The sequence below is a fragment of the Homo sapiens genome, chromosome 12 (assembly GCF_000001405.40).
Source record: "Homo sapiens chromosome 12, GRCh38.p14 Primary Assembly".
NCBI classification, from domain to species: domain Eukaryota; kingdom Metazoa; phylum Chordata; class Mammalia; order Primates; family Hominidae; genus Homo; species Homo sapiens.
Genome location: NC_000012.12, coordinates 122,620,292 through 122,634,463, shown reverse-complemented (window position 1 = coordinate 122,634,463; position 14,172 = coordinate 122,620,292). Strand labels below are relative to the sequence as shown.

The following is a 14,172-nucleotide window of genomic DNA, read 5'->3' as shown; positions in this document are numbered from 1 at the left end:
CATCTTGGAATCAGGGTCCAACATAGCATCTCAGGTGTTTCTCATACTTTGCTTGTCACATAGGCATATTCCTGCCACAACTAGCCTCAATAGCAGGACGTTCTTAGTGGAGTTGGTCTCACCAAGACCAGGAGCAAATAATCAATTTAATTGTTATAAATAATGGTGACAGGCTGATACAAACCACCCCCAAGCTCTTCAAACCCCTGGCTACAAGGCAGCACTATAATCCCTATGTTTCCTTAATCACTGTGTTTCATGCCTTGACCAGGACAGTGCCTTGCAAAAACTTTAGCAAAACAGATCAGATTAATTCCAGCAGGCCTGGAATTAACCCTTAAAGCATAATGTGTCTACTAGAAAATTTAAAGCATCAAATGTACTTGCATGATATTTCTACTGGACAGTGCTTCTGTAGACCAAGGGGAAGCAACTTTTCTTTATCTGTCAAGAGCCAGATAAAGAAATACTTTAGCTTTGCCAGCCGTATGGTCTCTGCATAGTCCATTCTCACACTGCTATAAAGACCCACCTGAGACTGGAAAATTTATGAAGAAAAAAGGTTTAATGGACTCACAGTTCCGCAGGCTTAACAGGAAGCATGACTGGGAGACTTCAGGAAACTTACAATCATGGCAGAAGGCAAAGGGGAAGCAAACACCTTCCTCACATGGTGGAGCAGGAGAGGGAGAGCAGCAAGAGTATACACTTTTAAGCAAAAAGATCTGGTGAAAACTCACTATTGTGAGATCAGCAAGGGATAAACTGCCCCCATGATCCAATCATCTCCCACCAGGTCCCTCTCCCAGCACTGGGGATTACAATTCAACATGAGATTTGGGTGGGGACATATAGCCAAACCATATCAGTCCCTACTGAAACTACTCAACCCTGTCACTGATGGGTGAAGCAGCCCCAGATAATATGTAAACAAACAAGCCTGGCTTCATCCTAACAAAATTTTATTCATGAACACTGACATCTGAATTTTAACTAATGCCACAATTCTTTTACTATTGTTTGGATTTTTTTTAAAACCCTTTAAGAAGGTAAAAATTATGATTTGGTCACCATGGGCCATTATTTGCTGACCCCTAGTCTAGACCCTTGTTACTTTAAGTGTGATCAGTGAACAAGCAGGGTTGGTATCACCTGATGCTTGTTAGAAATGCAGAATCTGGCTGGGCACAGGCCTCTAGGCCCAGCTACCTGGGAGGCCTGTGAATGGCCACTGCACTCCAGCCTGGGCAACATAGCCAGATCCTGTTAAAAAAATAAAAGAATTGCAGAATTTGGACCCCAACCCAGATCTGTGAATCCAAATCTGAAATTTAAGGAAGTTCCCCAGGTGATTTGTATAAAACACCTGGGAAGTTTGAAAAAATTACTAAAACCTAACTCCAAGACCCCAGAGTCTTATATAACTGGTATGGGTGTGACCTGGGCACTGGGATTTTAAAAATATCCCCAGGTGGGCCGGGCATGGTGGCTTACACCTGTACTCCCAGCACTTTGGGAGGCCGAGGTGGGTGGATCACCTGAGGTCAAGAATCCGAGACCAGCCTGACCAACATGGTGATGAAACTCCGTCTTTACTAAAAATACAAAAATTACCTGGGCATGGTGGTGAGTGCCTGTAATCACCACTACCTAGGAAGCTGAGGCAGGAGAATCACTTTAACCCAGGAGGCAGAGGTTGCAGTTAGCCAAGATCACGCCATTGCACTCTAGCCTGGGCAAAAAGAGTGAAACTCTGTCTTAAAAAAAAAAAATCCCCACATCATCTGAATATGCAGCATAGATTCCAATAGACAGCAAAGTTTGTCGATTAGACAAAGACCAGGGACTTGGCATTTACTCCTATGTAAATTTTTATTCTTCTTATTGCAATTGCAAAGACTGCGTGTTCTACTAGTATTCTCCAAAGAACCTAGAATAGTGCTATGTGCCTAGTCGGTACTCAGGTTCTTTCGGATTGACTTGACAGTCAACTGTTTTTTTTTTTTTTTTTTTTTTTTTGAGATAGTCTTGCTGTTGCCCAGGCCACCTGGGTTCAAGCAATTCTCCTGCCTCAGCCTCCTGAGTAGCTGGGATTACAGGCGGCTGCCACCACGCCCGGCTAATTTTTGTATTTTTAGCACAGACAGGGTTTCATTATGTTGGCCAGGCTGGTCTTGAACTCCTGACCTCAAGTGATCCACCCGCCTTGGCCTCCCAAAGTGCTGGGATTACAGGCGTGAGCCACCGTGCCCGGCCTTCAGTTGATTTCTAATAGATTCACTACTTAACAAAACTAGGCACTTAAACTGTATTCTTGTAGACTGGTAATTTTACAGGGGACTTGTAGCCATTGTTTCAAAACAAACTCCAAAATATGCAAATTATACATAGAAAATGTTTTTATGGGCCAGGCACAGTGGCCCACGCCTGTAATCCCAGCACTTTGGGAGGCCAAGGCAGGCAGATCACGAGGTCAGGAGATTGAGACCATCTTGGTTAACACGGCTAACACGGTGAAACCCCATCTCTACTAAAAATACAAAAACAAAAAATTAGCCGGGCATGGCGGCAGGCACCTGTAGTCCCAGCTACTTGGGAGGCTGAGGCGGGAGAATGGCATGAACCCGGGAGGTGGAGCTTGCAGTGAGCCGAGATCGCACCACTGCACTCCAGCCTGGGCGACAGAGCAAGACTCCGTCTCAAAAAAAAAGAAAATCTTTTTATATCTCTTCTGGGGCTAATACTTCAATGTGCAATCAGTGAGAAAAACACTTTACGTTTTGATAAGACATAACTGAGGAGCTCGGGAGTAGGTGGCTGTTATAAGTGTTTCACATTTGAAGATCGAAAGATCTACAAATAGATTGTGTGTATTTATACACACTATTTCGCACATCTTGCTTTTTAAAAACTTTGTGATTTTTAAAAAATGGCCACATACCACTGAACTGTACACCTAAAAATGGTGAAGATGGTAAATATTATATGTATTTTGCCACAATAAAACCAATTTTTTTTTAATGGCCACAAATTCTTATGCTTCTTCCACTATGATGTGGGGGGCTATGCCTCCTCCCCTTGATTCTGGGTGGGCTTTGACTATCTCAACTGAGTATGGCAGAAGTTCTGCTGTGTGATTTAAAGTTTTGCATCATTTTAGCCAGGCGCACTGGCTCACACCTATAATCCCAGGGCTTTGGGAGGCTGAAGTCGGGGTGGATCACTTCAGGTCCGCAGTTTGAAACCAGCCTGGCCAACATGGTGAAACCCTGTCTCTACTGAAAATACAAAACTTAGCTGGGTATGGTGGCGCATGCCTGTAATCCCAGCTACTCGGGAGGCTGAGGCAGGACAATCGCTTGAACCTGGGAGGTGGAGGTTGCAGTGAGCTGAGATCATCCCACTGCATTCCAGCCTGGGTGACAGAGCAAGACTCTGTCTAAAAATAAATAAATAAATAAATAAATAAAGTTGTGCCTCATTTTATATATAAGTGCTCTTTGCAACCATCATGCATCTTTTTGTTTATTTTTCTTTTGGGGCTGAGCATCATGCCTCTTGACTTTTTTTTTTTTTTTTTTTTGAGATGGAGTTTCACTTTGTTGCCCAGGCTGGAGTGCAATGGTGCAATCTCAGCTCACTGCAACCTCCGCCTCCCAGGTTCAAGTGATTCTCCTGCCTTAGCCTCCGAGTAGCTGGGATTATAGGTGCGCCACCACGTCCGGCTAATTTTGTATTTTAACTGAGTTTCACCATGTTGGCCAGGCTGGTCTCAAACTCCTGACCTCAGGTTATCCATTCACCTCAGCCTCCCAAAGTGCTGAGATCACAGGTGTGAGCCACCATGTCCGGCCAAGTTATTTCACTGTTCAATTACAATATACATTTATTGGGGTGAAAGAAAATTGAATGTGGATAGGCAGTCTAATTTTGTTTTTTTATGATATGAACTTATCCAATATTGAATTTACAGGCATTAAAAAAATCAGGTTTTATTCTGCAAACTGTTGGTGGCATGTTAAATGTTTTGTTTTAGTGGTATCTGGAAGACTGGTTGGGGTTTCTGGATGGGCCAAGAACATGTTTTCCTCATTTAAACATAGGCTAGGCACGGTGGCTCACGTCTGTAATCCCAGCACTTTGGGAGGCTGAGGCGGACAGATGGCTTGAACTCAGGAGTTCAAGATGAGCCTGGGCAACGTGGTGAAATGCCGTTTCTACTAAAATACAAAAATTAGCCAGGCATGGTGGTGTGTTTGTAATCCCAGCTACTTGAGATGCTGAGGCACGAGAAGCACTTGAACCCAGAAGGCGGAGGTTGCAGTGAGCCAAAATTTTGCCACTGTACTCAGCCTGGGTGAAGGAGATTCTGTCTCAAAAATAAATAAATAAATGATATGTAAATAAATAAATAAAAATAAAATCATAGACAGCTACTCAGGAGGCTGAGGTGGGAGGACTGCTTGAGCTCAGGAGTTCAAGGCCAGCTTGGGCAACATAGTGAGACTCCGTCTACATTAAGTCAATCAATCAAGGCAGGTACTTCCATTATCTAAATTTTGTCTTCCAACACATTTTAGGGGGGCTAATAAAGGATGCCAGTCTGTCCAGAAACTTGTATAGAAGGACTGAGTACTTCCTCATTCTGTATATGGCCACATGCAGTTAGCCCATTCCCTTCTTTAAAAAAATTTTTTTCTTTGTAGAGATGAGGTCTTACTATGTTGTCCAGACTGGTTTCAAACTCCTGGCCTCAAGTGATCCTTCCACCTTGGCCTCCCAAAGTCCTATGGTAACAGGTGTGAGCCATCATGCCAGGCCTACATTCCCCTCCTGATGAGTACTTTGGTTGTTTCCAAACGTTTCCTCCGAGAATAATGGCATAGTGAGTAACTTACAAGTGTGTGTTCCTAGAAGTGGAATAGTTGGGTCAAAAGGTATGCATATTTGTAATTTTGAAGAGATTGTCAAATTGTCCTCCAAAGAACTTATACAAATTTAAATTTCCACCAAGATATGAGAATAAATTTTCTGATAATTTTGTCCAGTTATCAAACTTTAATTTTTGCCATTCTGGCAAGTAAAAAATGGAATCTAAGGTAGTTTTAATTTGCATTTTTATTAGCATTAGGGAGGTTTTCTTTTCACATGTTCCAAAGCCCTTTGGGCCATGCACAGTGGTTCACATCTCTAATCCCAGCAACTCAGGAAGATTGCCTGAGGCCAGGAGTTTGAGACCAGCCTGGGCAGCATACCAAGGTCCTAGCTCTACAAAAAAAAAAAAAAAAATTGGCTGAGTGTGGTGACATGCACCTGTATGGTCCCAGCTACTCAAGAGGCTGAGGCAACAGGATTGCTTGAGCTCAGGAGTTTGAGGCTGCAGTGAGCTATGATTGCTTCACTGCACTCCAGCCTGGGTGATAGAGCAAGACTCCATCTCTAGTGGGGAGGAAAAAAGCCCTTTGTATTTTTTTCTATGGTGTATTTATTTGTATTATTATTTTTATTTTGAGACAGGGGTTCACTGTCACCCAGGCTGGAGTGCAGTGGCACAATCTTGGCTCACTGCAATCTCTGCCTCCTGGCCTCAAGCCATCCTCCCACTTCAGCCTCCCAAGTAGCTGTGACTTCAGGCGCACACCACCATGCCAGGTCAATTTTTTTGTTGTTGTTTTTTAGTTTTTAGTAGAGACAAGGTTTCACTATGTTGCCCAGTCTGGTCTCGAACTCCTGGGCTTAAGCAATCCGCTAACTTAGTCCTCCCTAAGTGCTGGGATTACAGGTATGAGCCACCATGCCCAGCCCAGCTATTTTTTTTTTTTTTTTGAGATGGAGTCTCACTCTGTTGCCCAGGCTGGAGTATAGTGGCTTGATCTTGGCTCACTGAAGCATCCACCTCCTGGGTTCAAGCAATTCTCCTGCCTCAGCCTCCCAAGTAGCTGGGATTACAGGTGCCTGCCACCACACCTGGCTATTTTTTGTACTTTTAGTAGAGACGGGGTTTCACCATGTTGGCCAGGCTGGTCTCGAACTCCTGACCTCAGGTGATCCACCTGCCTCAGCCTCCCAAAGTGCTGGGATTACAGGAGTGAGCCACCATGCCCGGCCAGCCCAACTATTCTTATTTGTTATGATATGATCTTTAGAAGTCTGTCTAAGACCTATGTAAATAGTTATTGGACAATGTTTTAAATATAGGTCAAACGTCATTAAAATATCATTGCAAATTAAGTAACTTGCATTTTTAAACTAATTATTGTGGAGAAACAGTATAACACCTTCAAAGTGTAAAATAATTTTATTATTGAAACTGCAATTTAAAAACTTGCAATTAGCTAAATAGAAGCCTATATACTCGTAATAACTAGCATTTTTGGCACTCGGGTACTGTGCTAGACGCATTTTTTTTTTTTTTTTCTTTTTAGACAGAGTCTTGCCCTTGCCCTATCATCCAGGCTGGAGTGCAGTGGCATGATCTCTGCTCACTGCAACCTCTGCCTGCTGGGTTCAAGTGATTCTCCCACCTCAGCCCCCTGAGAAGCTGGGATTACAGGCATGCATCACCACGCCTGGCTAATTTTTTGTATTTTTAGGAGAGATGGGGTTTCACCATGTTAGCCAGGATGGTCTCGATCTCCAGACCTCATGATCTGCCCACCATGGTCTCCCAAAGTGCTGGGATTATAGGCGTGAGCCACCGTGCCTGGCCTAGATGCTTTATACGAACTGATTCAAACCTCCTGCCACTAGAAGGTAGATACTTTTACTGTCCTCAGTTTGAGGGAATTAAGATGGTGAGAAATTGGGCCAAGCAAGGTGGCTCATGCCTGTCATACCAGTACTTAGGGAGGCCAAGGTGGGAGGATTACTTGAGGCCTAGAGTTCAAGACCAGCCTGGGCAAGAAAGCAAGACCTTATCTCTACAAAAAAATTTAAAAATCAGGAAAGCATGGTGGTGTGTGCCTGTAGTCCCAGATACTCGGGAGGCTGAAGCAGGAGGATCCCTTAAGCACAGGGGTTCAGGGTTGCAGTGAGCTATGGTCATAACACTACACTCCAGCCTGGGTGACAGCAACACCACCCTGTTTCTCTCTGTGGGAAATTAAATAACTTGTTCAGGCCCACACAGCTAGTAAGTGATAGAACTAGAACTCAAATCCAGACTTATTTTACTTCGAAACCTGTGTTGAATCATGTTTCATTGAGTTTTTTAGAAATCTTTTTTTTCAACTGGCAAAATAAAGGCAAACTAATTCCAGTAACATCAAATTCACTTAAGTTATTCGCAAGTATGGCAAAGGACTACAAAGTCAGAATAACAGGTGTAATTAACACTTCTGTGTGCTGGCTTTTTGCTCCACACGCCTTTCTAGGCCACCGGCTGCAGTGCTGGGGGTTTACAGTTGCGGACCACTCCTCCCAGACTTCTAGCCAGGTGGCTTCCAGTTTGGTTCTGCTATTTCTTGGCACTGGGGTAAAAATTAGAAGCTTGGAGAAAGTGCAGAGATGTTTCTTCTTTTGGTGGTGGGCTTGGCAGCCTGGACAGCAGCAGTGTTAAGTTGTCAGCAGCACTGGCAAAGAGACTCCTGGGCTTCTGAGCACTGCAGTGGCCACAGCAGCTCCGACAGCTCAGTGGCAAATGTGGGCTCGGGGCTCCAAGCCAAGGGCCGGAGCAGCTCCTGATCTGTGGCTGCAAAGCCCTTCTTCCCTTTTGTCTGGCTCCCGCTTCTACCTCCCTTCTGTTCTTTCAGTCTTTTGAAGAACTTTATAGCCAATCCCTGGCATGAAATTCTTCTCTGCTTGGCATATCTAGAGTGGCTTTTATTTTTCTGACTGATAAACTCTGCCACTAAAATTATACCAATATTTTCTTAGAATAACATTAAAAAGACTGATATTCTTACTTTTTTATATGGAAGACATAGGCTATAAGCACTCAATTTTCTTAAGGGAGAGAGCAAACTTTTTGCACTTTGTTTCCTTCATATATGGTGCAAAAAAGTTGATAGTCTCTATAAATTGCACAAGTGACTGGCAATGAAAAGACTTATTAATTCAGGACATGAGTTCTTTATGGGGCAATTATGCTCATATTGTTTTATTTATTACATGTGGGGTAATGTTAGACAAATAGCTATAATACAGAGATTGTACAATTTAAAAACTGTAATAAATATGGTCCATTAATAGCAGACTCCAAAATTCTTGTCCTTCTTGAAAAAAAGGTTCAGTGATTTACGATAATCCACTAAGAAACATCTAAATGGGAAGAAACACAGAAGTGATTTTTATAAGTCACTTAGTTTTTCAAATTGAAAATGGTCAGATAAACTACAGAACTTAAGTGAAGTGATACAAATCTACATATCAAACTATTTGGCATTTTAGATTAGAGAGAAACAGATTTTAAACGCCACAAATTTATCTCCCGAATCAATACTCTCCCCTTCTGAAAAAAAAAGTAATCTTATGGCATTGAGCACAACCACCTGGAGGTAAGCCCTGTAAGTTATTAATGGGCGGTAACAAAATGCGGGCTCATTCTAATATGCCTGATCTGGACCAAAGGAAGAAAAAAGCCACGATACTTAGGTTTACTAAAGCTACCAAAATATTCCGATCTGAAAAACAGCAAATAAAAAATAAAGCTACCAAAATATGATCAAAGTAAAAATTTTACCTGGCACTTAAGTTCAAAATGGGAGTAAAAATAAATTATGTGCACATTTTACATACAAAAAATTTGGAAGAATGTACAGCAAAATGTTAACAGTGATCCTATGTCTGGGTAGTGAGATTTTGAAGATCAGTTTAGTATTTTTCTCTTTCTTTTGGCTCTTTCATATTTCTCTTTTTCCTTTGTTTTTTTTTTTTGTTTTGTTTTGTTTTGATTTTTTGAGATGAGTTTTGCTCTTGTCGCCCAGGCTGGGGTACAATGGTGTGATCTTGGCTCACTGCAACCTCTGACTCCTGGGTTCAAGCAATTCTCCTGCCTCAGCTTCCCTAGTAGCTGGGATTACAGGCTCCCACCACCATGCCAGGCTAATATATTTTTTTTTTGGAGACAGAGTCTTGCTCTGTCAGCCAGGTTGGGGTGCAGTGGCATGACCTCAGCTCACTGCAACCTCCGTATCCCGGGCTCAAGCAATTCTCCTGCCTCAGCCTCCCGAGTAGCTGGGATTACAGGCGTGTGCCACCACGCCTGGCTAATTTTTGTATTTTTAGTAGAGACGGGGTTTCACCATGTTGGCCAGGCTGGTCTTGAACTCCTGGCCTCAGGTAATCTGCCCCTTGGCCTCCCAAAGTGCTGGGATTACAGGTGTGAGCCACCGTGCCCAGCCATACTTCTTTTTTTTCTGCAGTGAATATACGTTTTAGGTAATTAAAGAATAATAATTAATTTAAAAAGCAATTAATACCCAAGCATGACAATAATCAACACCTTTTAGAATTCAGTTTTTCACCTGCTTCAATATTAAAAACACCACCTTATGAGGAATGGTAATGCTGGAAAGCACCTGAGAGACCATGGGGTCCAGATCTGAAGACTAAGCCCACATTAGGCTTTGCTGCCCAGTGGCAGGGCTGAGATTAGAACTGTGGTCTCTTGATTTCTAGTTTAGAACTCTCTAACACAAAAAGTAAAATATAAAAATTACAGTTACACATAAAAATACATTTATCTCCAGAACACTAGAAAAGGCTTGTCAATTTTAAGGCCCTAGGAATATAAACAATGTCAAGTTAGAACCTAAGAACTTTCCATCAGCTTTACCTTCAGAATTTCACAGGGAGCAGTGTCTGGAGGCACAGGTTTCCCGCAGTGCTTTGAATATTCAGTTATCAAGACTGAAGCTTCATCTAAACTACAAAATCAAAAAGAAAAAGAAGTGTTAGGCCAAGCACAGTGCCTTGTGCCTACAATCCCGGCACTCAGGGAGGCCAAGATGTACAGATGGCTTGGGTCCAGGAGTTTGAGACTAGCCTGGGCAACATGGCAAAGCCCTGTCTCTACAAAAAATATAAAATTAGCCAGGTGTGGTGTTGCACACTTGTAGTCCCAGCTACTCTGGAGACTGAGGTAGGAGGATCGCTTGAACCCAGGAGGTTGGGGCAGCAGTGAGCCACGTTTGTACCACTGCACTCCAGCCTGGGTGACAAAGCAAGACCCTATTTCAAAAAGAAAAGAAAAGAAAAGAAAAAGAGGCATTGAAGTCAAAATTAAAATGTAAAGACCAATCTCTGAATTTAATGTTTTATTTGGGAAGAAATAATTCCAATTTGGGGCATATACATAGACTGGGTAGTCTCTGGATTGTCCAAAGAACAAAGAGAAGGTTAGAGGTTTTATGAAAAAGAGACATGTTACACATTGTTCTTTTTTTTCTTTTTTGTGAGACAGAGTTTCACTCTTGTTGCACAGGCTGGAGTGCAATGGTGCGATCTCGGCTCACTGCAACCTCCACCTCCTGGGTTCAAGCGATTCTCCTGCCTTAGCCTCCCGAGTAGCTGGGATTACAGGCATGCGCCACCATGCTCGGCTAACTTTTTGTATTTTTAGTAGAGACAGGGTTTCATCATGTTGGCCAGGCTGGTCTTGAACTCCTAACCTCAGGTGATCCACCCGCCTCGGCCTCCCAAAGTGCTGGGATTACAGGAGTAAGCCACTGCGCCCGGCCAGAATTATGTTTTTGGAGCAATGTTTTGTACTCTGAGTGCTTTTCCCCTGGGCCCCTCGACTCTGATGAATTTGGGTATCACAAGAATGACCTAATTCATGTAATCAACTTCACAGAGGGCATGAGGAAACTTTCAGAGAATTATGTTCACTCTCTTGATTGTGGTGATGGCTTTATAGGTATACATATGTCAAAATTTACTAAATTGCAGACTTCAAGTATGTCCAGCTTATTATATGTATCAATTATAACTCAAAAAATACTTGCTCAAAAATGACAATATCTAATTATGGCTGGATCACAAGAGATAAACAAGCAGATGGAAATCCATGGAGTGGTAATGAGAAAGAAAGACCTCTCAAGCGCCAACATGGCTAGACCACATGCAGGGATGGATCTGGTGTGTACTGCGGTCTTGAACTTCCCTTTCTTTAGTGTCAGCCCACTTCTTCCTTCTCCCGTTCAGTTTCCATATCCACCCCCAGCTCTATCCCAAGAAGCTTATTGTTTCTAAACTTGTGGGTGCTGGAAAATTAGATAACCAGGTTTAACAAAAGTGATGCTACATAAAGTCATTAATGTTCTGAGCAAGTGTCTAGACATAAAATTGTAATGTAGGATTTAGAACAGGGCTGTGAGACACTTGATTTGGGGGTTCAGATGACCTGTTTAATTGTCAGATTCTAAGGTCATATTCCAAGAAATTGGGTTATTAAATGATTAACTTTTGGATATGTGCAGTAATGAGAGATGTAATATTTTGAGCTTTTAATTACAACCAAATAGCTCTACAGTTGACATTCTGCTCCAACATAAAGATAGATTTTTTTTTTTTTGAGACAGAGTTTCGCTCCTGTTGCCCAGGCTGGAGTGCAATGGTGCGATCTCGGCTCACTGCAACCTCTGCCTCCCGGGTTGAAGAGATTCTCCTGCCTTATCCTCCCTAGTAGCTGGGATTACAGGTATGTGCCACCATGCCCGGCTAATTTTGTATTTTTAGTAGAGACAGGGTTTCTCCATGTTGGTCAGGCTGGTTTTGAACTCTCAACCTCAGGTGATCCACCCACCTCAGCTTCCCAAAGTGCTAGGATTACAGTCGTGAGCCATCGTGCCCAGCTTATAAAGATAGATTTTAAGGAAATTCCACAGTAAGTTTTTTTTTTTTTAATTAACTTACCTTAAGTCATTTGCCAAATAGTTCACTAGCTCAGTGATATTGTTGGTATTCATCGCATGCATCTTCAACATTTGAAAGTATTTGGTCTTTGCCAAAATCCCAAACTCCTTCTTATTGATGATATTATTCAAAATCAGACTTCTAATCTATAGAATGACAGGTATCATTAAGATCAGACTTCTAATCTATTAGAATCAGACTTCTAATCTATAGAATGACAGGTATCAAGCCTTTATTCAATATCAAAACATTTCTGACAATCGGAAGCCCAATTAGCACTGCATTGTGACTGCGCCTCCTTTTTGAGGGGGTAAAAAGGGAAAGGAGGCCTGTCAGCATCAGTCAATAAATAAAGTAATTGTTGTTGTGCACTTTGAGACTTTTTATGAGGAAGAAGATCTGTTTTCAATTAAAAGCACTTAAGGCTACAAATTTTCCATGGAGTACAGCAGTCAACAAGACGCTCAGGGTCCCTGCCTCTTAAAAAATTTACTGAGGTTTTAGTAAAAGCAAAATAATTCTATACATAAACAAACAGCTAGACATAGCAGTTTTCAGCTTACTCTTGGTTTGGGAAAATGACTACCTTCTAGTATCAACATTTTCATAGCAAAAAGGAGATGAAATCGCCTCTTACTTGATGTGAAAATCCTGCTAGCTGGCCCGTGTTCATATGCTCTTCCAATTGCTTTAAAATAACCTGAGGGTCACAGGAACCCAGAAAATTCTAGAGAAAAATCAAAGCAGAATTAATAGAAAATTGTTATTATTTATTCCAACAGCAAGAGCCGTTGATCAGGTATTTTGCTCTTCTAAGTGCCAAAAGAAATCTATTTAAATACTGAAACACTGAACGACATCAAGGAATGAGTGTATGAATGATGAAAAGAGGGGAAAAAGTCAAAGACAAGAACAGATGGCTTTTAAAAATGTAATTAATAAGCCAAATGACAAATAAAAAATATGCATGTTCAGCTGGGCGCAGTGGCTCATGCCTATAATCCCAACACTTTGGGAGGCCAAGGCCAGCGGATTGCCTCAGGTCAGGAGTTCGAGACCTGCCTGGCCAACATAGCAAAACCCTGTCTCTACTAAAAATACAAAAGTTAGCCGGGCGTGGTGGCAGGAGCCCGTAACGTCAGCTACTTGGGAGTCACTTGAACCCGGGAGGGAGGCTGCAGTGAGCTGAGATTGCACCACTGGACTCCAGCCTGGGTGACAGAGACTCTCAAAAAACAAAACACAAAAAACAAACAAACGAAAAAGCCTGAATGCATGTATGTTCATTTATGTAGATCTCTATCTACTGGTATATCTACCTGCAGGGAAGATAACTGTAAAACATTCCAAAATGCTTTGTTCTACTTGTTCTCTATTATAAAGGAAATGAGAGTTATTTTTAAAAGTTCTATCCCCAAAATGCTTGTGGCTCCTTCTGATGGGCACCCACACATAAAATCTGACTCTCCCCCTCTTCTATCTCCCACATTCAATTGCTAAGTCTGCTGCCTTCCTTGTAGCCTTCTTGTCTTGTTCAAGTTCATTACCAGACCCTATCATGGGTACTTAACCCTCAAGCCTTCCCTGCCTATGCACAAGGTTGCTATGAAGAGATCAAGTGGGATAAAATTCTACTCAAATGCAACATCTTCCCAACTGTTTCACTTCTTGTCCTCTCCTCTGTCCAAGCCTACATGGGTTAATGGGTTATTCCTTTTAAAATAATTCCTTCATCATTTCAGTTTGCTGTTCTAAAATAATCACTTGTTTCCCCACTGATAGACAATAAGGCCCAAACCCCTTGTAAGACAGCCCTCAGCTGGACCTTAATCTATCTTTCAGTCTTACCTCCCACTAAGCCCCCATACAAGCTTCACACATATCTGATGTATTCATGCTTTACAGGTTTGCTGAAATGAAAATGCGACCTTTTGCAAGGGACATGCAAGATGAAACCTTCTATTTCCTTGGCAGCCCAGAGGAATCATGTGCACGATACCTTAATTTGCTGGTGTCTTTTCTCTGAGTGGGGCATGAGCATCAGACAAGCTAATGCAAAAGCCGGAAGTTCTAACTGGATATACTGCCTGGCGACTCCGATCAGGTCAAGATCACCTGAGACTGGACATCTTCGAGAGAGAACATTAATTAGTTAATAATCTGGCAGATTCACTAGATTATATTGGCCTTTCTAGCTTTCCATAGTCATCTGCCTGTCCAAGTTTTCAATAATTTTAAACACTAAAGTGCTGGTGCATGACATATGCTTAGGAATGAGTAACACAAGTCTTTGACAGCACTCTACACAGAATAAAA

General features: G+C 42.2%; 1 protein-coding gene across 6 annotated transcripts in view; it reads right to left on the bottom strand.

Annotated features, from left to right (window-relative positions):
• Positions 8,068-14,172, bottom strand: part of KNTC1 (kinetochore associated 1) — a 99,148-nt gene continuing 93,043 nt past the window's right edge. For all 6 annotated transcript variants that reach the window (NM_014708.6, XM_006719706.3, XM_011539027.4 and 3 more), the window contains 5 exons: positions 13,856-13,985; positions 12,494-12,583; positions 11,857-12,002; positions 9,776-9,866; positions 8,068-8,259 (listed from right to left, as the gene is read on the bottom strand). In NM_014708.6, coding sequence (NP_055523.1) covers positions 8,236-8,259; positions 9,776-9,866; positions 11,857-12,002; positions 12,494-12,583; positions 13,856-13,985 — 481 coding nt within the window. In that variant the 3' untranslated portion in view covers positions 8,068-8,235. The remainder of the gene's footprint in view (positions 8,260-9,775; positions 9,867-11,856; positions 12,003-12,493; positions 12,584-13,855; positions 13,986-14,172) is intronic.